This window comes from Homo sapiens, chromosome 2, assembly GCF_000001405.40.
Source record: "Homo sapiens chromosome 2, GRCh38.p14 Primary Assembly".
NCBI lineage: Eukaryota > Metazoa > Chordata > Mammalia > Primates > Hominidae > Homo > Homo sapiens.
The window spans coordinates 20,775,393-20,796,494 of record NC_000002.12 but is presented as its reverse complement, the minus strand read 5'-3'; the positions used below and the strand labels follow the sequence as shown (position 1 = coordinate 20,796,494).

Here is a 21,102-nt window from a genome sequence, read left to right as displayed (position 1 = left end):
ACTGTCATTTAAGGGTCAAGGCTTTCAGAGAAAGTGTGAGTGACTAAAAAGTTGATAGATGGAAATAGATGGCTTGAGTCTTAAAGAAGAAGAGGTTGTTGTAATAGTGAGGTGAAATAGTAAGTGGGACAGACAACCCACCCACTTCCCCACCTGGAGATAGTATTTATTCCCTCACTCTTTTATCCCAGGTGCTAGGAATACTGTGTTGCATTAAGTCTTTGCTCTCATTGAGTTATATGTGGTGTTAGAGAAGAGTGACTGAGGCCTCTGCTGAAGAGGATTGAAAGGAAGAGAGCCCATTACAGGGGAGAGCCAGATTTCAGATATGGTGAGGAGATAAAGGGAGTATTCAGTGAAGACACTGAGAATGGAGGGAAGCATAAAACATTTGTAGTTTGATAGTCTCATTGTTTATAGTGCTTTGACATTTTCAGATCATATTTCATTTCCTAGTGTTCTTTTATGTTTGCCCTGCTCATTAGTTTGTGGGATTTAGAATTGTATTTTGTGTGTGTGTGTGTGTGTGTGTGTGTGTGTGTGTGTGTGGCAGGTTTCGGGGGAGCTAATCTATTTACACTGTGGTAATAATCAGGATAACAGTATTTCAAGGATTGTGAAGCCACTATGGACACCATGTTATGTCCGTCTCTGATAGACTGACATAACATTTCATTTTAAATCACATTGCTTTTGCAGCTAGCAAAATTAATTCTTCACTTCTAAGTTAGTAATGATAATTGTGAGTTTTCTTTTCTTTTTTGTAGTCTGATGTTTAATGGATGCAATATCATTTTCTTTTCTTTTCTTTTTTTTGCATTTGTAAGAATTTTTACTGTGTTCCTTTTTTGATCAGAATCCACAGATTGAAGAACTTTTAATTTAGTTTCATTTTTTCTGATGAACCTTAGATCTTGGATTTCTGTAAAGTAACATTGTCCTTGGACTTTCTTTAACTAGTGAGATGAACAAAGGGAATCAGATTGAGAACTCACCATAGAGTACACTGAATCATAATTCTTAGGAGGTCATATGGAGATAACAGAACCATGTGAAGTATCAAGTGCTGTGAGCACAGTGGTTGGAGATATAGCAGATAAGGCTCCATGAATGAGTCCAATAGGTCTGTCTACATGGCAACCTATTATATAGATACTGTGCCATATTAACTTGATATGTGGCAGTTTTCGTTCCTCTCCCTACAAAATTAACTGGAAGGTATAAGTCTATACTTGCAGCATTGTATAGTTGGAGATTATTAGCAGTCAGGGCCTAGAGATGATCACTACAACTTCTGTTATACATTGCATGGGTATTTGACTGATTTGACTGTTATGAGCATGTTCAAGTGTGTGTTTATAACACATTTTTATGTAAACTTTTGATTAAATATTTTACTTGCATGTCTGCATTGGAATGTTTTCCAACATCCTTACACCTGGACCTCTCCCATACCCCTCCGTGTGTGTGTCTTTTTTAGTTGCATAAGTGTAGGCCTTTTAATTTTCTTTGTGGTTTCTTAACAAGGAGGTTTAAATGGTGAAGTATGAAGTACTGTATGCAATGGTATTTAAGCATTTTGCATTGCATTTTCCACTTCTGTCTCTGTTATAAGTTAGACCTTTGTGATACTTGCTATGCGTTCAGTTTGAAAGGATTTATTGTATGTGAGTGCCATGTACCCAATCTAGTGCTGCTTGGTGCCACTGGATACAGAGAACTATAGCAAGTGATGGCTACTTTTAAAGAAGTTAAACTTTCAAGTTTGGTACGTTATACATGCTACAATGTTAAGTATATTTCTGACAGGATAAAACTTCCATTTTTTTCTGCATCTGTTGAGGATCGTATGGTTTTTCTTTTACGGTTGGTTAATGTGGTGGATGATGTTAATTTTTGAATGTTAAACCAATCCAGCATTCCTGTGATAAATCCCACTTGGTCATGATGTATTATGCTTTTAACATTTTGATGGACTCAGTTTGCTAAAATTTTGTTTAGAATTTTTCCATCTTTGTTCACGAGGTATAGTGGTCTGTAGTTTTTTCTTTTTCTTTTTGCAATGTCTTTATGTGGTTTTGGTATGAGGGTGATGCTGGCCTCATAGAATGAGTTAGAATATATTTCTTTCTTGATATGGTTTGGCTGTGTCCCCACCCAAATCTCTTCTTGAATTGTAACTCCCACAATTTCCACGTGTTGTGGGAGGGGCTCAGTGGGAGGTAATTGAATCACGGGAGCAGGTCTTTCTCATGCTGTTCTTGTGATAGTGAATAAGTCTTATGAAATCTGATGGTTTTATAAAGAGGAGTTCCCCTGCACACACTCCCTTTCTTTTTGCCTGCTGCCATCCATGTAAGATGTGACTTGCTACTCCTTGCCTTCCACCATGATTGTGAAGTGTCCTCAGCCATGTGGAACTGTGAGTCCATGAAACCTCTTCTTTGTGTGTGAGTTGCCCAGTTTCGGGTATGTCTTTATCAGCAGCATGAAAACAGACTAATACATTTCTCTTCTATTTTCTGAAAGAGTTTTTATACACTGGGCATTTTTCTTCCTTAAATGTTTGATAGAATTCACCAGTGAAGCTGTGTGGGCCTGGATTTTCTTTGTGGGAAGATTTTTAACTTAAATTCTAATTAATCCAATCAATTTAGGGCTATTTAGGTTATCTGTTTCTTCTTGAGTGAACTTTGATAGTTTCTGTCTTTCTAAAAGTTTATTTTATCTAAGTTGCTAAATGTATTGCTATGAAAATTTTCATATTTTTCCTAATTACTCTTTTAAGATAGAAGACTTTTTTTAAATTTAAATCTGATTATGCCTTAACCCTGCTCAATCTCTTTTAATGTTACTTAGATTAAAAGCCAAATTACTTATCATGGCCCAAAAGGTATCACATGATTGTATTTCTCTTCCTCTTCAACCTGATCTCATACAAGATTTGATATCTCTTGTTATGCTTTAGCCACACTGATAGATTAGATGCAAAGGGAAGAACCAAGGATTATGGACTGTCTTCCATTTCTTCAAGAGCTAAGATCTTTATTTCTTGAGGGCCTTTGAATTAGCTCTTCAAGAGCTAAGATCTTTATTTCTTGAGGGCCTTCTCCCTCCTTAGTATTTATTCTCTTCCCTCAAATTTTCACAAGGCTTATTTCTTGTCATTTTGGGGTCTTAGCTAAATGTCACCTCCTCAGACCTTTTTTTCACTCTATTCTCTTCCCTTCTCTATCATGTGACCCTGTTTATTCCTTTTATAGGAGTTCTCACACTCTTTATCTCACCTATTTAGTTATGTGTTGTATATTCTCCCACTAGTACATAAATTCCAAAAAGGCCCTCATCTGTCTTTTGCCTGACATAGTGACTTTCATACAGTAAGTGCTCAATAAATAATTGAGGGCTAAAAGAAGCTGTAATTCTGAATAGAATTAATGAACATAAGTAATTGGCATCATCATTTACTTGATGATGATAAAATTGTGGATCAGAAAGCTTAAGAACTCAGACTTAATCCCAGAGATAGGGAGAAAACTTTGTTTTATTTATTTATTTATTCTTCCTCATTTAAAAAAATATGTTAAGTTCTGGGATACATGTGCAGAATGTGCACGTTTGTTACATAGGTATACATGTGCCATGGTGGTTTGCTGCACCTGTCAACCCATCATCTAGGTTTTAATGCCTGCATGCATTAAGTATCCATTATCTAGTACTCACTGTTTTTCATATATCGTGTCATTGTAACTTACATCTAAATCATGGGGTTATCTTTAGTGTCTCCTTAATGTTACACCAGTTTTTAATTGTTATAATAGCTGTGGTATTAATAGCTGCCATTTATTCAGCCCCTACCATGTGCCAAGTTTTGTGCAAGTGGCTATCCATTCGTTATTTCTAATGAAAATGCCAACTACTTTATAGAGATATTGTAAGACTAACTAAAACAAGGAAGGCAGAAGATCCTACACCGGATTACTGATGTTTTTTAAAAATTCAGTATTATGATTTTCTTTTGTATATACTTTCAGTCATCAAATATTTATTTAGCACTTACCATATATGTGATGTTGGCTAAGTTATTTAACCTCTCTGTACTCAGTTTCCTCATCCATAAAATGGAAGTAATGATAGTGCTACCTCATATGATAATTAAATAATATATGTAAAGCACCTAAACACTGCCTGGCATGTAGTAAGTTATAGTACCTAAAAATATTAGCTATTATTATTTTCTAGCCATATGAAGAAATCTATGAGCAACGTAAGACATGTGAATATGAGGTATAACATATTCCTAGAAGGTTATACTCAGTAATATAAAAATATAAAATTTTTGTAAAGTAATATATTAATGAGATGAAATTTTAGTCACAATCCCAAAGAGATTTTTAAGAATTGAAACTAGTGAAAATAACCCTAAAGTTTATGAGAACAGCCTAGAAAATTTAGAAAAAGAAAAAGGGAAGGGATTTGCCCTACCTGTTAACACTTAAAAAAAAATGTAGTAATTAAGACAGTATGGTCCTGGCAGAGGAGAAAAGGAAAAATAAACTGAATTATTTGGTATCAGAATTAGCAAGTGAATGTAAAAATGTAGTATTGGGTCTGAAGATATTTCAAATCAATGCAGAAAGAATGGATTATATAATAAATGGTCTTGGAACAATTGGCCAGTCACTTGGAAAAAAGTTGGATTGCTACTTAGTATTTTATACTAAAAAGTATTCTAAACTTACTGAAGACTTAAATGCATAAAACATGAAACAGTGCCACCCACAGCTTCCATAGATGTTATAGCCCCTGTGCTGGTATGCCCTTCCTCCCTTCTTTCTTCCTTAGCTATACAGTGGCCAATAAACTGACCAAAGAATATATTTCTGCATTTGAGGAAGTTTTCATCCTATTTGACAAAGAAGCCAAAAGCACCATCACAAAAAGGAATTTGGAACTTGGGTCACTAGGTCAGAATGCAACAGAAGCAAAATAATATGGATGCTACGGCCGTTGTATATTACCGTTATAGCTAGACGTTGTTGTACAAGTTTGAATACCTAACATTTATATAATACTTGCTGTGTTTCAGGCAGTGTTACAATGCTTTGTACATTGATTCACTTAGTCTTCAAATGAGGTAGTACCATTATTACACATTTTGTGGATGAGGAAACCAAGGCAGAGGGAGGTTAAATAGCTTGGCCAAAGCTCACACAGTTGGTAAGTGGCAAAGCCAAGATTCCAACCCAGGTAGTCTGGCTTCAGAGTCTATGCTCTTAACCACTTTACTACACTGCTTATCTAGCAAACTGAAAGATATAAAAATGGAGTAGAAATCAGTGAAATTCGACAAGGATGACAGTGGTTATTTACATCAGTGCTCCAGAGCCATGTCATGTAATTGCAGAGACCAGAAAGCCTAACAACATGAAGAAATAGATAAACTGATCAGAGAAATAGATATTGATGGAAATGGACTAGTAGCTGTGAAGACTTTATATAGATGATGATTACAAGATGAAAATCCCATTTCGTTGTAATTTCCCCCCTACAGATCTATCAGATTGAATGTTTTTAAAAAGATCGTTTATTTATTGTTTCTTTATAGCAAACTCATGTCAAAAATACCTTCTGTACACACATAAGAAAAATCTACATGTACTTGTAGACGTTTGTTTCCCCAAAAGATCAAGCTGTACACCTGTTTACAATTATAAGTGCTAGTGATAAGTGACAAGGAAACAGTAGACTCCTTAAAGCTCTCCCTGTGCATGCTTCTTACACTATTTTGGCTGGCTTGTTTTTCTGGTTTTCATGCATCTTGTTAACTGAGCATGACCAAATCTTGAAGTGCCTTATATGCAGTATTACTGATTTTAGACTTCTTCCAGATGACTTTATCTGGAAGACACTGAAGGGTGTTTAAATAGGGTACTGCTGTGATTTTAATGGAAGTTTGAAGATAATCTCTCTTGGGTACTCTGAAGAATTCAGAGGAAAGTGTGAAAAGAAACAGACCCATCTTTTCTAGCCTGCGTGTCATCTTATGCCTGTTTATTACTTTGATTAATCTAAGGTCTGTGTTTCTTTTCTTAGGTAACCCAGGTTTTTCTGCCTTTTATGTGCCATTTGCAAAGGCTTTATACTCTTTGACAAACAGACGCTTTCCAGTTTGGACTATCAGTCATGCTGGGCATGCGTTGGCTCCCAAAGACAAGAAGATTCTTACAACATCAGAGGGTATGTCCTTGTTAATATCTACTTTCCTTTAGAGTGAGTGCAGGGTCATGTTTCTAGCAAGCTTGCTAAGGTTAAGAGTTACACCAGTGGAAACCTCTGCTTGTGGCATTAGGCCCATGGTGCCATATTTTGGTAAACTTAGGATTTTTAGAGACATTTTAACTCTTCATGTAATTTTCTGTAAGAATATGGGTAGATAAAACAATCTATGACTTGCCTTCTTTATTTACCAATTAGTAATCAACTGTGTGTTTTTTGATCATGTATTATTTTTCCAGGGTTGTTCTAGGAGGAATGGTGGGGAAAAAGCAGTCCCCAACCATTTTGGCCTCTGGGAACCAGTTTTGTGGAAGACAATTTTTCCACAGACTGGGGAGGGGTGGATGGTTTCGGGATGAAACTGTTCCACCTCAGATTAACAGGTGTGCAACCTAGATCTGGCATGCACAGTTCACAGTAGGGTACTCCTATGAGAATCCATTGCTGCCGCTGATCTGACAGGAGGCAGAGCTCAGGCGGTAATGCTCACTCGCCCGTCGCACACCTTCATCTGTGTGGCCGGGTTCCTGACAGGCCACAGACAGGGGTTGGGAACCCCTTTTATAAACCATGTTCTTTACTTTAAAGAAGCTTTTTCTCTCATATTTAGAGAATAATTAAGTGATAAACCGTGGCCTGCTAATCATATAGACACCTAAGGGGTAAACAAAGGAGAAAACACAGTGTGGGTTAGGAGAGACTTTGTGGAGTAGGCATGTGTCTTAGTCAGTTTGGGCTGCTATAGCAAAATACCATAGACTAAGTAGCTTTTAAAAATGGAAATTGATTTCTCATAGTTTCTTGAGACTGGACGTCCAGTCCAGTCTGCACTGGCAGATTCGATGTCTGATGAAAACCTACTTCCCGATTCACAGGTGGCATTCTTGCTGTCCTCTCGTGGTGGACACAGGAGGCAAGCCCTCTTGGGACTCTCGCGGGCTCTACCCTCATGACCCCATCTGATCCTAATTACTTCCCAAAGACCCCTCTCCACCTCTTAATAGCATTTGGGCATAGGGTTTCACCTATGGATTTGGGGGCCATATAAGCATTCAGACCATTACAGCTGGTTTTCACAATTGAATAAAATTTGGATTTAGGGCATGGAGGTGGGTGCAGAGGTACAACAGACAGAAAGAGTAGCACAGAAGGGAGCAAGATTTAATAGCGATGTTACTGCTAAGCAGGGCCAGTTTGAGAGGGACTTTGAGAGCTGGAGAGAGAGCCAGGACTCCATGCTGGAAGGTTTCTAAATGGAAGAAGTAATACCATGGAGATGCAAACTACCTCCTTTAAATCTGTGAGAATTCTAGCATGTTCACTGTTCCAAAAAATAAAAAATGAGAGAAAAAATAACTTAAATATAAGTTTATAAAACATAAACATAACTTTATAAAAGTACAGCATATCCAAGAGTTGAAGGACACTTTCAAAAGGTGTAACAATTGGAATGCTCTATAGGCATTCCATTCAAGGGCGTTTTGTCCTAGGGGGTTTCCTTTAGTTAATTTGAGGTGAGATCGAGGTGGCTGTGACTTCATTGCCCAGTTTGCTTCTGGTTCTTGTACGTCTCTCTAGTGGTATGAGCATCTTTTTGTGCTTATTGAGCTTCTCAGTTTTAAAGATATTTTACAATAAAGTTACATTTTACATCTATAGTCTTCGTTATTATATATGCATGATTCTTTTAGACATTGATGTACAAGGTTGAACATACAAAAGCCTGTACTCTTTGAAGGCTAGTTTTGATTATATTTATTTTTAATTGTAATCTCTGACCTCAGCCTCTGATCCTCATATCAGATACAATTTTTTGTTTCTATTTTAAAATTTGAATGTGGTGGCAATAAATATGGCTGCATATGTGAACTCCTCTGAATACTTTCTGAAAAACATTAGTTTACTAATCTGTTATTAATTTGTGTAAATGTTGCACGTCAGATAAACAGTATCAATTTATCTAGTTTTATCTAATTGTTAACCTTGTATTTTGCAACTGACCCTTTAGCTGCAGGGAGTATGTTGTATAATTTTCTATTTATTTTCAAAATGGATTACCTTCCTTTATTGTATTTTTAGATTAAAAAGTTATATGTGCTTATTAAACAATTTAGTATGGAAAACTGAATAAGAAAATAAAAAATCGGTGTCCTGTAAGTTAAAGGTTGAAAAGAAATACTAAAACTTCATAATGGTTTAATTATGCTTAAACATTTTCAGCCTAAAGCCTAACAAACGTTAGCACCTTGGCACTAAGAGATGAGATTTTTCAATGAATAATACTTTGTGTAATAGCTCAGATATTTTCTAGGCTGAAGTAAGCATCTAGGAATAGCAGCACAAGGGACCATATTTTTAGTGCTTTTTCCCCTATGTCAATATCGTGATGAAGTGTGTATCTTAAATGTTAGTGAAATAGTTACATTTAGATTTTCAGGGTATTTTTTTTCAACATTTATTTGCTTATTACCTGTTCAAAACTTGTATTTGGCATATGTTATACATTAAGAAAATATTTAGCATAGAATTTTTTTAAAAATAAATAGTGGACTTCCAGTTTCAGCTCTGACATGTAGAACTTGGAGTTTGTCACTTCTCTCCTCGCAATAAGAAAAAAGCTGAGGCTAAGTGTGGTATCTCATGCCTGTAATCCCAGCACTTTGGGAGGCCAAGGCAGGCAGATCATGTGAGGCCAGGAAGTTGAGACCAGCTTGGCCAACATGGCAAAACTGCATCTCTACTAAAAGTACAAAAATTAGCCAGGCGTGGTGGTGCTTGCCTGTAATCCCAGCTACTCGGGAGACTAAGACATGAGAATTGCTTGAACCTTGGAGGCAGAGGTTGCAGTGAGCCAAGATTGTGCCACTGCACTCCAGCCTAGGTGACAGAATGAGACTGTGTCTCAAAAAAGAAAGAAAAAAAGAAAAGAAAAAAGCTGAACAAAACTAAAAATCATTTTTCTTAGACCTTTCAGAGAATTGAGGTCACAGGACAAATTGTCACCTAAAATCTAGAGAGACAAGGAAATACAATGAAGATTGTAGAAGACACTAGTGCCGTTTATGTAGAATACACTACATAAGTGTAGAATACATAAATGGTGATTTTGATGAATTGCTGGGGGTAAAGTACAGACTATTTTAAAAGTAACAAACTTCTGCAAGCCTATTCTTGGGGGACTTCTTCACTTTCATAGGTATTACTTCTAGGAACCTTATCAGGTACTTTTGTGAAAATTTGAGAAATGTCCTCTATGGTTTTTTGTTAGGAGTGGAAGAGAAGTAAGCATTTTGCAGTATGTCCAGAATATTCTCAATAACATGGCTTACTTTCCAAGGGAAAAAGAGTTCCAGAGCTTTATCCAACCTGGGGGGAAGGGCAGTTAGCCAACTCCGTCTTCCCCTAGCCTTCATGTCTCACATGCTGGAGGAGAAAAAAAGATGACAAAAACTTTTGAAGATCACAGCACAGGCATTCAGGCCCACTGAAAGACTGAGGTTTAATCATTACATTATAGGATGTTTCCCTCCTCATTTTACCACCATGTCTACAGGCCTCTACCTTAATAATAGTTCATTATAACTATAGGAGCTACAAGACACAAACTCTATTTAAGAAGGAGTTCTTAGGGAAAACCAAAGGCAATGGAGGAAAAAAAAACAAGAACATTAGAGGAAACTGAAGTTTCTGATACCTATAGCTACAGAAAACATTAAGCATAGCCCTGGCCAGGCGTGGTGGCTCATGCCTGTAATCCCAGCACTTTGGGAGGCTGAGGCGAGCAGATTGCTTGAGGTTAGGAGTGCTTGACCAGCCTGGCCAACGTGATGAAACCCCATCTCTACTAAAAATACAAAAATTAGCCGGGCATGGTGGTGCAAGCCTGTACTCCCAGCTACTCGGGAGGTTGAGGCAGGAGAATTGCTTGAACCCGGGAGGCAGAGGTTGCAGTGAGCCGAGATAGTGCCACTGCACTCCAGCCTGGGCGACAGAGTGAGACCCTATCTTAAAATACAAACAAACAAAAAAAGCATAGCCCAGCTTCTAGTGGCATTAACATATAGCCTCACATAAAAGGTCTATTTACCTCATTCCTATTACTTAATACATCATGTCCAGCTTTAAGCAAAAAGTAAAATTAGAAGGCATTGTAAAAGGTAAGAAAAAACAGTCTGAAGAGACAAAGCAAGCATCAGAACCAGAGTCAGATATATACTTATTACCAATTTTAGAAATATCAGATCGGGAATTTAAAGTAACCATGATTACTACGTTGAGAACTCTAATGGAAGAAGCAGCATGCAAGAACAGATGGGTAATGCAAGCAGACAGTAGGGAACTCTTAAGAAAGAATCAAAAGGAAATATTAGAAAACACCGTAACAAAAATGAAAAATGCCTTTGATGGACTCACCAGCAGGCTGGATGAAGCTGAGGAAAAAATCAGTGGGCTGGAAAAATAGGTTAATAGAAATTTTCCTAACTGAAATGCAAAGAGAAAAAAATAATTTATAAAAGTACAGCACATCCAAGAGTTGTGGGACAATTTCAAAAGGTGTAACATATGCATAATTGGAATACCAGATCAAGAAGAAAGAGAAAATGGAGAAGATAAGAGTTGAAGTACTTAATGCCAGATGACAAAACACAGGTCTAGGAATCTCAGAGCACACTAAGCAGGATCAATACTAAGGCTCTACACCTACATATGTCATTCTTAAGTTGCAGAAAGCCAAAGACAAAATCTTGAAAATAGGCAGAGGAAAAAGTGCCTTACCTGTAGAAGAACGAAGATGAGAATTACAGGGAACTTCTTGTCAGAAATCATTCAACAAAGAGGAGAATGGAGTGAAATATTTAGTGTCGAATGAAAAATAACACTTACCTGGATTTCTCTATCTAGTGAAATCATCCTTCAAAAGTAAAGGAGAAAGAAAGACTTTTTCAGACCAACAGCAGCTGAGGAAATTAGTTGCTGGAAACATCCTATGCAAGAAATATTAAAAGAAGTTCTTTAGGGGAAGGGAAAGCGATAGAGATTAGAAACTCAAATCTGTATAAAGAAGAGCATCGGAGAAGGAATAAAGGTTTAAAAAGTTTATTTTTCTTGTTCCAAATTGATCTGGTAGATAGCTGTTTATTCAAAGTAATAAAAGTAACAGTATGTTGGGTAATTACAACATGGATAAATGAAATGAATGTCAATCATGTTATAAAGGATGGAAGAGAGGAATTGGGAATACTCAGTTGTAACATACCTGGACTAACGGTGAAATGGTATAGTGTTACTTCAGATGAACTTGTGTTTTTTTGTTTTTTTTGTTTTTTTTGAGACAGGGTCTCACTCTCTCGCCCAGGCTGGAGTACATTGGTACAATCTTGGCCCACTGCAGCCTCAACCTGCCAGGATCAGGTGATCCTCCCACCTCAGCCTCCCAAGTAGCTGGGACTACAGACGTGTGCCACTACACCTGGCTAATTTTTGGATTTTTAGTAGATGCAGGGTTTCACCATATTGCCCAGGCTGGTCTTGGAACTCCTTGGGCTCAAGCGATCTGCCCGCCTCAGCTTCCCAAAGTGCTGGGATTACAGGCATGAGCCACTGTGCCCAGCCAAAAAAAAATTTTTTTAATAAGTATAATTATTATGAGAAGAAGAGAGAATGTTAGATCATTTAAAATGCTCAATTAAAGCTAGGAATAGAGAGTAGGATTTTAAAAAGAAAGAACAAGTATAACAAAGAAGAAACATTTATAAATATGATAGCTATTAATTCAACTATATCAGTAATCACTTTATTTATTTATTTAGAGATACAGTCTCACTCTGTCACCCAGGCTGGAGTGCAGTGGTGCCAACGAGACTAACTGTAGCCTGAAACTCCCAGGCTTAAGTGATCATTCCCACCTCAGCCTCCTGAGTAGCTGAGACCACAAGTGTGTGCCAGCATGCCTGGCTAATTTTTATATTTTTTATAGGGACAGGATTTTGCCATGTTGCCTGGGCTAGTCTTGAACTCCTGGGCTCAAGTGATCTACCTGCCCTGGCCTCCTAAAGTGCTGGGATTACAGGCATGAGCCACCATGCCCAGCCTCAGTAATCACTTTAAATGTGAATGGTCTAAATATACCAATTAAAATACACAGATTGTTGGAGTGGTAGGGGGAGATCCAACTATATGTTGTCTACAAGAAACCACTTTAGGACCAGGCACAGTTATACACGCCCGTAATTCCAGCACTTTGGGAGGACGAGGTCAACAGATTGCTTGAGCCTAGGAGTTTGAGACCAGCCTGGGCAACATGGTGAAACTCCAACTCTACAGAAAAATACAAAAATTAGTCAGGCGTGCTGGCACGCACCTGTGGTTCAGCCTACTCAGGAGGCTGAGGTGGGCAGATCACTTGAACTCGGGAGGTTGAGGCTGCAGTGAGCCGAGATCATGCCACTGCACTCTAGTCTGGGCGACAGAGTGAGATCTTGTCTTTAAAACAAACAAATAAACATTTTAAAACAAACAAACAAAAACTTTAAGTATAAAGACACAGATATGTTGCAAGTAAAGGGATATACAGAGATATACCATGGTAGCACTAGTCAAAAGAAAGCTGGAGTAGCTATTTTAATTTTAGACAAAGCAGGCTTCAGAAAAAGAAAATGTCAGGGATAAAGAGGAGCATTACATAATGATAATAGAACCAGTTCTTCAAGGAAACATAACAATCCTTAACAAATATGTACCTAACAACAAAGGTCAGAATGCAGGAGGCAAAACTGATAGACTGCACTATTATAAGTGGAAACATCAGCAATCCTTTTTCTGTAATGAATAGATCCAGCAAACAGAAAGGCAGTAAAGATATAGTTGAACTGAATTGCACCTTCAGTCAACTTTATTTAATTGACATTTATAGACTACTTCATCTAACAACATAGTCTTCTCAAGCACACATGGAGCATTCACCAAGATAGACTACATTCCGGGCCATAAAACATACCTTAAGAAACTTAAAATTGAGTATAAATTATACAAGGTATGCTCTTAGACCACAGTGGAATTAAACTAGAAATCAACAACAGAAACATAGCTAGGAAATCCCAATATATTTAGAAGTTAAACAACACACTTTTAAATAACACATGGGTCAGTGAAGTCTGAAGAGTAACATAAAAATACTTTGAGCAAAATAAAAGTGGAAATACAACTTATAAAAATTGGTAGGATATAGCAAAACTAGTGCTTAGAAGGAAATTTATAGCATTGACTGCATGTATTAGAGAAGAAGGAAGATATAAAGTTAATTACCTAAGTTTCTGCCTTAGGACACCAGAGAAAGAACAATTTAAGCCTAAAGCAAAGAGAAGAAAAGATGATAAAAATGGGAACACAAATCAATGAAGTTGAAAACAAGAAATTATTAGAAAAAAAATCAACAAACCAAAAGCTAGTTATTTAAAAGACTAATAAAATTAATAAGCCTGTAGCCAGGCTAACCAAGGGGGGAGAAAGAGAAGACGCAAATTACAAGTATTCAGAAAGAAAAGAAGATTCATTGCTGCTGATCTCTTAGATAATAAAAGGACAATAAACTTAACTTAGATAAAAGGGACCAATTTATTGAAAGATACAAGCTCCCAAAACTCACACAAGGAAAAATAGATGATCAGAATAGACTGTATCTGTTAAAGAAATTAAACCACCAAAGCTGAATAAGGACAAAACAAGAAAAGTATAGGTCAATATCCTTGAGGGACATACATGCAAAAATTCTCAATAGAATACCAGCAAACTGAATTCAACATCACATTAAAAGGATATGGTCATGATCAAGTGAGCTATCTTAAGTCATACTATAGACAGAAGCGAACATTTGAAGAGAACATGAATGGCAACTTTGAAAGTTGAAAACAGACTCAGAGGATCACCCTTGATCAGGTGTTCTCAAACTTTGGCATGCATCAAAATCACCTGGAGGGTTTATTAAAACACAGGTGGCTACCTCTGAGTTGTTGATTTAGTAGATCTGGGGTGGGACCTGAGAATTTGCATTTCTAACAAGTTCCCAGGTAATATTGGTGCTGCTGGTCCTGGGACCACATTTTCGGGACCACATTTTCAGAACCACTGCCCTAGATGTTCACAATAAACACTGATACGGAAAACCAGTAGAAAATATCTGTCATGTGTCTGAATTTTTAGGAAACAGCTTTAATTCTTATTGTAAATTGACATCTTATTATTTATAACTTTACTTTGAATATGTTTATCTCTAGTTGGCCTGCTTGTGTACTATTGAGTTAATAACTTAGTAATTAGTCTGGGTTCTTTGCTACCTAATGAGAATAGTGCCATCTAGAGGCATTAGCCCAAAGGGCCACCATAGCGCCAAAGGAAGCTGTGGTTTCTGGAGAGGGTGAGAGGGCAACTCATTATCATCAAGGACTTATTGACAACCTACTAGGTTATTAACTGTCATGCTACAAGGGTATACAAAGAGTTAGAATTGCTTGCCAGTCTCCACCTTTTAGGTTTGTGACTTTCTGTATCTGAGTAGCTCAAAAGTTCTGTGAAGGCTAAGTAGGGCTCTGGGCCTTGGACCAGCCCCCCATTCAGCTAGAACAGTTCTGCTCTCATCTGTTGTACACATTGGAGGTTATGTTTGCAAATGTATGCTATAGTGGCTTTGGATAGGCAACACAGATATATTATTTGCTGTCCAAGATTGTCCTAAGGTACTGATTTTCTGGCATGCAAAATAATGGCGTGAAAAATATGTAATCATTGAGAAAAAGGGCATAAGCTATTACCACACATCAAATGTTGAAAGTATGTTTTCCTTCATATTAGCACATGTTAAAATTATGAACAGTTGGAAATAATATTCTAGTAGACCACATTATCACAATCATAAGTTGAATATAATTGGAAGAACAGATGTTCACCAATGTCAGAAGGGGATGATTCGAGGGGAAAAAAAGTGTGAAAAGAAAATTTGAGGAGTTAGGAGTATAAACTGTTTTCTGGATTTGATTTGCTATAGAGTCAGCACACATGATGGGAAATTCATTATCAACTATTTCAAGTCATTGTTTAGAAAGTATGAAATGAAAGCTAGAAATCATGCTGGTTTTGTATTAGCAGATAAAAACATTACCTAAAAAAGTTATACAATCTTGCAACTAATGATGAATTTGAGTCATGCTTATCCAAAGAAACAATAAACTACTCTCACTGCAGTCCCCCAAATAGGAAGAAAGAGAGAAAACCCAGTGGAGCTTTCTCTTGCCAGGACTGGGAGTGGCAGGGCAACAAGGAGGTAAGATGGAATGACTAGATGAGCCCAAGGCAGGAACAACCAATCAATCAACTCTCAGGGCTCACAGTCCCTAGAAATGAAAGCACGTAAATCTGTGGGTCAGAAGAGCAAAAAACCAAAGTGCAGAGCAAGAGAAGAAGTTAGGAATCAAGCAAATTGTTAAGAGTCCCAGGGCAGACAGAAGTAGGGAGAGTGAGCATTGCAGTTAACGTCCATAACACAGACCAGATTGTGCGCTCCTCTCTTGGCAATCTATAGGTATCTTCTCATTGATCACAGAACCGAGTCCAGACTCCTTGGTGTGAAGTTCAGTTTCCTACTTCATTTATACCCAACTTTCCTTTTTAACCTTATGCTTCACCTTTCCATATAACCACACATAGCCACAGAACTCATGGCTTTTTCCAAGTAACAGCCATGGAAACATGGCTGTTTCCAAAATATCACTTTACAATAAAAAGTAACACACTTTTTATGCCTTTTTCTTTTATTGTTTGCTAAGTCTATAACATTATGTTCTCCTTGCTGAATCTCTCTGCTGTTTCCTGCTAAGGACTGTTGAAGTCCTTAGCAGATAATTGGTTTTAGTCAAGTGGAAAGCATAATTTGATGACTGTGGTTTTCACCGTTTGGAGAATAATAATTAAAAATTATTTTATAAAACATATGCTTGGGGTTTACAAATTTTGAAATTTGTTTTCTAAATAAGATAGCAGTGTTAAATAGAATAATTATCTCCCATCTCCTTCACTGTAATGCATACTTTAAGAGCTAACAGAGTTGTACCAGTGTTTAGATACAGGGAGCTTACAGAATACTTAGGGAGGGAGCTGGGGTTTGATGAGAGTGTACTCCCACTTCAGCCTAGTAACCTCAGGACAGTTGTGAAAGGAAGGCCTTATGGATCGATGAAGTAGGTAAGCCTACAGAATTAGGGACCACAGTTCTCATTGAGCCAATTCACTGATATTCAGTATCAACCCACAACATCTTTGGGGGCTTCTGTATTCCATGTGAGAAAGAAATCAATGGTGATTTTCCCTACAAAATAGGTGTAAGATATCTAGGAACAACCGCATGTCAATGCATTCTTTTTTTTAAATTTATTTTGAGAAATTTTTAAAAACGTAGCAAAATAGAGTTATATAACAATCAAAGTTTCTATTACTCACAATTGACAGTTAACATTGCCATATTTACATAAATATTTTTTGTTAACAAAATAAGTGAAATAAAACAATACAGAAAAAGGTTTGTTTTTTGTATCCCATCTCTAGTTCTATCATGAATTTAGAGTAAATATTTCATGTCTCTTTTTATGTTTGTAGTTATATATATTTATATATATGTATAGCATGGTGAACAACATATTATTTTTTTGTGTATTTGAAAGAAATTAAGGAGGAAACTTTTTATTTTATTTTTTCTTAAAAAAAAAGGTATACATGAGCAGAATGTACACGTTTGTTACATAGGTATACGTGTGCTATGGTGGTTTGCTGCACCTATTGACCTGTCCTGTAAGTTCCCTCCCCTCACCGCCCCACCCCTCAACAGCCCTAGTATGTGTTGTTCCCCTCTCTGTGTCCATGTGTTCTCAATGTTCACCTCCCACTTATGGGTGAGAACATGCTTCACAAGGAAACTGTATTTTCATCTTGATCAAAGAATTCTTTAAAATATGAAATATTATTCTTAGCCTTTCAATTTTTACATGCAAGTTGTTTAGTTATTAAGATACAGCTTTGGAGTAATGACTGGGGGCAGGATGGAAGGGTTTAGTAGCTGAGCAAATTCTGGTGTGAGATGTAGTTACTGTCTGCAGACTCAGTCCTACCAAAGGCATGTGTAGTGCTAATCTCCAGTCTTGTCTGTTCCATGGTCAGAGATGACCAATAAATACTGTTTGTATGAAAATAAATAGTTGAACTTATACATTTATATTCAGTATATAGCCATATATATATATATATATATGAATGGCAGTTAAATATGTAGTTAAATTTAAACTGTTTTGCTTGGATTCAGATACATAGTTAAATGTATACATTTATAGTAATATACATGTAATAAAGAATATCTTCTAGTTATTTATCTTGGGTAGAGTGGGAAAAGGTACAGTACTTTTTATGAATCAAAGGGCCGTTACCCTTCTATTGTGATCCAATAAACTGTGTTCTTTTCTCACACAAATGCTTGAGATACTTAACTTTGGCATTTAATGATTGTGTTTTTATCTATGTCTGTTTCCTGTTAGTAGATTATGATCTCCTGAAAGGCAAAGGTAGTATATTTTATTTATGTCTGTACTTTCAATAATACCAAGGGCCAATTAGTCACTGTTTTCTGTCAGAGTAGTCAATTCAGTTCATGTAAAATGAAGAAAATAATAATCATCAGATTTATCTGTGTTCTGAGGCTATAAGGGAATTTAAAATTGAAAGCAATTTTAATGACTGCTTAATAACTTTAATAACTGGAGCAGCAAATTTGAACGATTAGACAAAAAGTTAATGCGAAGTACTGATATTATTTAATTTCTCTACTAACTATTTCAGAACAAGTTGTGTGTACCTTTTGAAATAAACTCTAGAACCGTTAGGTGAGCTGTGAAGTGATATCTAATAGAGATGGGTCTAAGAAATAGGCTCAGGTTCTAAGAGAAAATTGTCAATATGATATTGGGGCTGGGGTTACAGATTAACAGCATCTCAAGGCAGAAGAATTTTTCTTAGTACAGAACAAAATGGAGTTTCTTATGTCTTCCTCTTTCTGCATAGATACAATAACAGTCTGATCTCTCTTTCTTTCCCCCACAATTTATTGGTAACAATATGGTGGATTGGATTGTCATCCACCAATTCGGGCAGTTCTCAATTTAGAAATCTCAATTTAGATTATGTTCCAAATGTGCTTCATTGATTATAACTTGGAGTACATTTTCCTTATAGAAAGAATGGTATAAATGATTTCCATATTAGCATTCTTCTGGTTTTGATACAATTGAATGTAATTTTTTCTACATTTTTTGGAGAGTAAGTTAATAATTTCTAGCATTTTCTCAGAATATATTACTATTAAAATAATAGGAATGAAAATATATAATCAAGTATATAGTCTTTTAACATTTCATTTTCTGCTAGTAAAATAATATCTAGAATTTTATTTACTAGTAAAATGAAAAAAGATAGGCTGGGAATGGTGGTTTACGCCTGTAATCCCAGCACTTCAGGAGGCCGAGGTGGGTGGATCACCTGAGGTCAGAAGTTTGAGACCAGCCTGGCCAACATGGTGAAACCTCATCTCTACAAAAATTCACCAGGCCTGGTGGTGCACGCCTGTAATCCCAGCTACTTGGGAGTCATGAGAATTGCTTGAACCCGGGAGGCGGAGGTTGCAGTGAGCTGAGATTGTGCTACTGCATTCCAGCCTGGGCGACAGAGTGAGACTCCATCTCAAAAATAAATAAATAAAAATAAATTTTAAAAGATAGCACATTTAAATTTTCAGTCATTGTACATTTTTAGAAAGTACTTTCCCCATTAATCTTACCACTTTGGCAAACACTAGCAAGTACTGTGTTCTTGAAAATCTACTGAATAGTTCCCAGAGGTAAAGCTAGATCTACCTCTGAAATATTCTGATTTATAATGTCCTTTAAAGTTTATCTGAAATACAATGTTTTAGGACCTTATTTATGATGTCAGTGAAATTTTAGAATATTTAGCCCATTTTCTTTGCTCTAACCATGTAAATGTTCTTGGTATATATTTGGAGGAGGACTTAAATAACAGGAATTGAAATGATGACAATCATAGCTTTTATTTATCTGCTTATGCCAGACACTTAAACAACAGCCATTGGAGGCTAGCATTATTATCTCTATTTTGTGTATGAGGAAACTGAAGCCTAGGTTAAAGGATTTGCTCAAGTCACACAGTTAGGGAGATGCTGAGCTGAGATTTAAACCCAGATGTATCTCATCTCCAGAGCCCGTTTATCTTTGTACTGCACCTACTGTCCCAACAGAAGGAAAACTTGGATATTTCCAAATGCTGCATATTTTGAAAAAGAACTTGGGATGCAAATATTAACATTATTGTGGTTTTTTATATCAAAGAATGATATGATCACTTCTGGGTAGAGTGATTAGAGAAGCAAGGTATAAACTCTTCAAACCTAAATATAATATTTCATGCATAAAAAGGTGGATTTGGAGCCATTAGAAGTCCTACCAAAGTCAGGTTCCAGATTCTCTCTCTTCCCAATTCTGTTTCATGCTGAACTTCCTTGTTAAGTGGAGAATGGATTGTAAGCTGACCTGGGAAAAAGAGTGAGAGCATAACATGTTTAACCTGGGAGATTAATAGTACTATGGAAATAGGGAAGTAAGCCTCATTGAGTCAAGAAAAAGCTTTTCAATAACTGTATGCTGGACTTTGGGGAGCAGTGATAAGCAAGACCTGAATTGTAAAGTAGGAGTGAATTAGGAGTAGTATAGTGAGATAAATAAACAGGGATGTTGTGGAAACTGAAAAGAGAGCCACTTTACTCCTCACATCATGAATCATAAAAAGGTCTCTCAGAGGAGATAACGCTTGTTTCAAGTTTGTAGGATAAACAGGACTTAGACTAAAAGGGGAGATGAGCACACACACACACAAAAAAAACCATATACAAACAAAACAGAAGAGTAGTTTTTCTGAGTTTGGGGTGCCTCTTGAATGAGCCATACCGACTGTAATTCCCATCAATGCCTTGCAAGTCATGAGAGCAAGAAATTCAGTGTTCAGTCACTCAAATTTTAGGAAACAGTTGACTGTCTTGTGATATTTTGAAATATTACACCCTGTCATTGGGTTATATATATGTTCATAGGGAAAACCTATTCAAGTTTTCTACACTCGTAGAATATTAGAGTGGCCAGCATCCTCAGAGATCATCTAGTCAGTTCCAGTTTTCATTCAGCCATAACATTTGCTGTGTACTAGTCACAGGACACATGAAAAGATGGACCTTGCCTTCAAGGAACTCACAGCCTAAGAGAGGAAATAAACATACAAACAGACAATGTGCAAGTTTGATAAAGTGCTATAATAAAAGAGGTACTGATTAAGCACAGAAGAGAGCTCATTAATTTTTCTTGAGGATTAGCTAGGTAAAGTTTTAATTAGGTCTTGAAGAACCTAGAAGAGCAGTTCATTTGTGACAGGGAGGGAGGATATTTCAGGTCAGGACTGCTGATTATTTAAAAGGGACAGTTTTTAACATTTCTACCTAAGTTTTTCGATCTGGATTCTTTAAATAAATAAAGATTATCTAAAATAATTAAGTCATGTCATGGACTTTCTTAGTTGTCTATTAGTAATATAAATTAGCCTAAGCAGCTGGTTCTCAATGTGTGGTACTGGGACCCAGTGCATCAACATCTCCTGGAAACTTGGAAATGCAACTTCTCAGGCCCCAGCCTAGACCTACTGAAACAGAAACCCTGGGGTGTGGAGCCC

General features: G+C 36.8%; 1 protein-coding gene across 26 annotated transcripts in view; it reads left to right on the top strand.

Annotated features, from left to right (window-relative positions):
* LDAH (lipid droplet associated hydrolase) overlaps positions 1–21,102 on the top strand; it is a 140,613-nt gene that overhangs the window by 26,607 nt on the left and 92,904 nt on the right. For 20 of the 26 annotated variants that reach the window (XR_007079565.1, XR_007079563.1, XR_001738874.2 and 17 more), the window contains one exon: positions 6,097–6,240. The exons of the other annotated variants lie outside the window; for them this stretch is intronic. Coding sequence is in view for 4 of the 20 variants with exons in the window: in NM_001282723.2 (NP_001269652.1) it covers positions 6,097–6,240 (144 nt within the window). In the remaining 16 variants the exon portion in view is untranslated. The remainder of the gene's footprint in view (positions 1–6,096; positions 6,241–21,102) is intronic. 26 annotated transcript variants of the gene reach the window in all.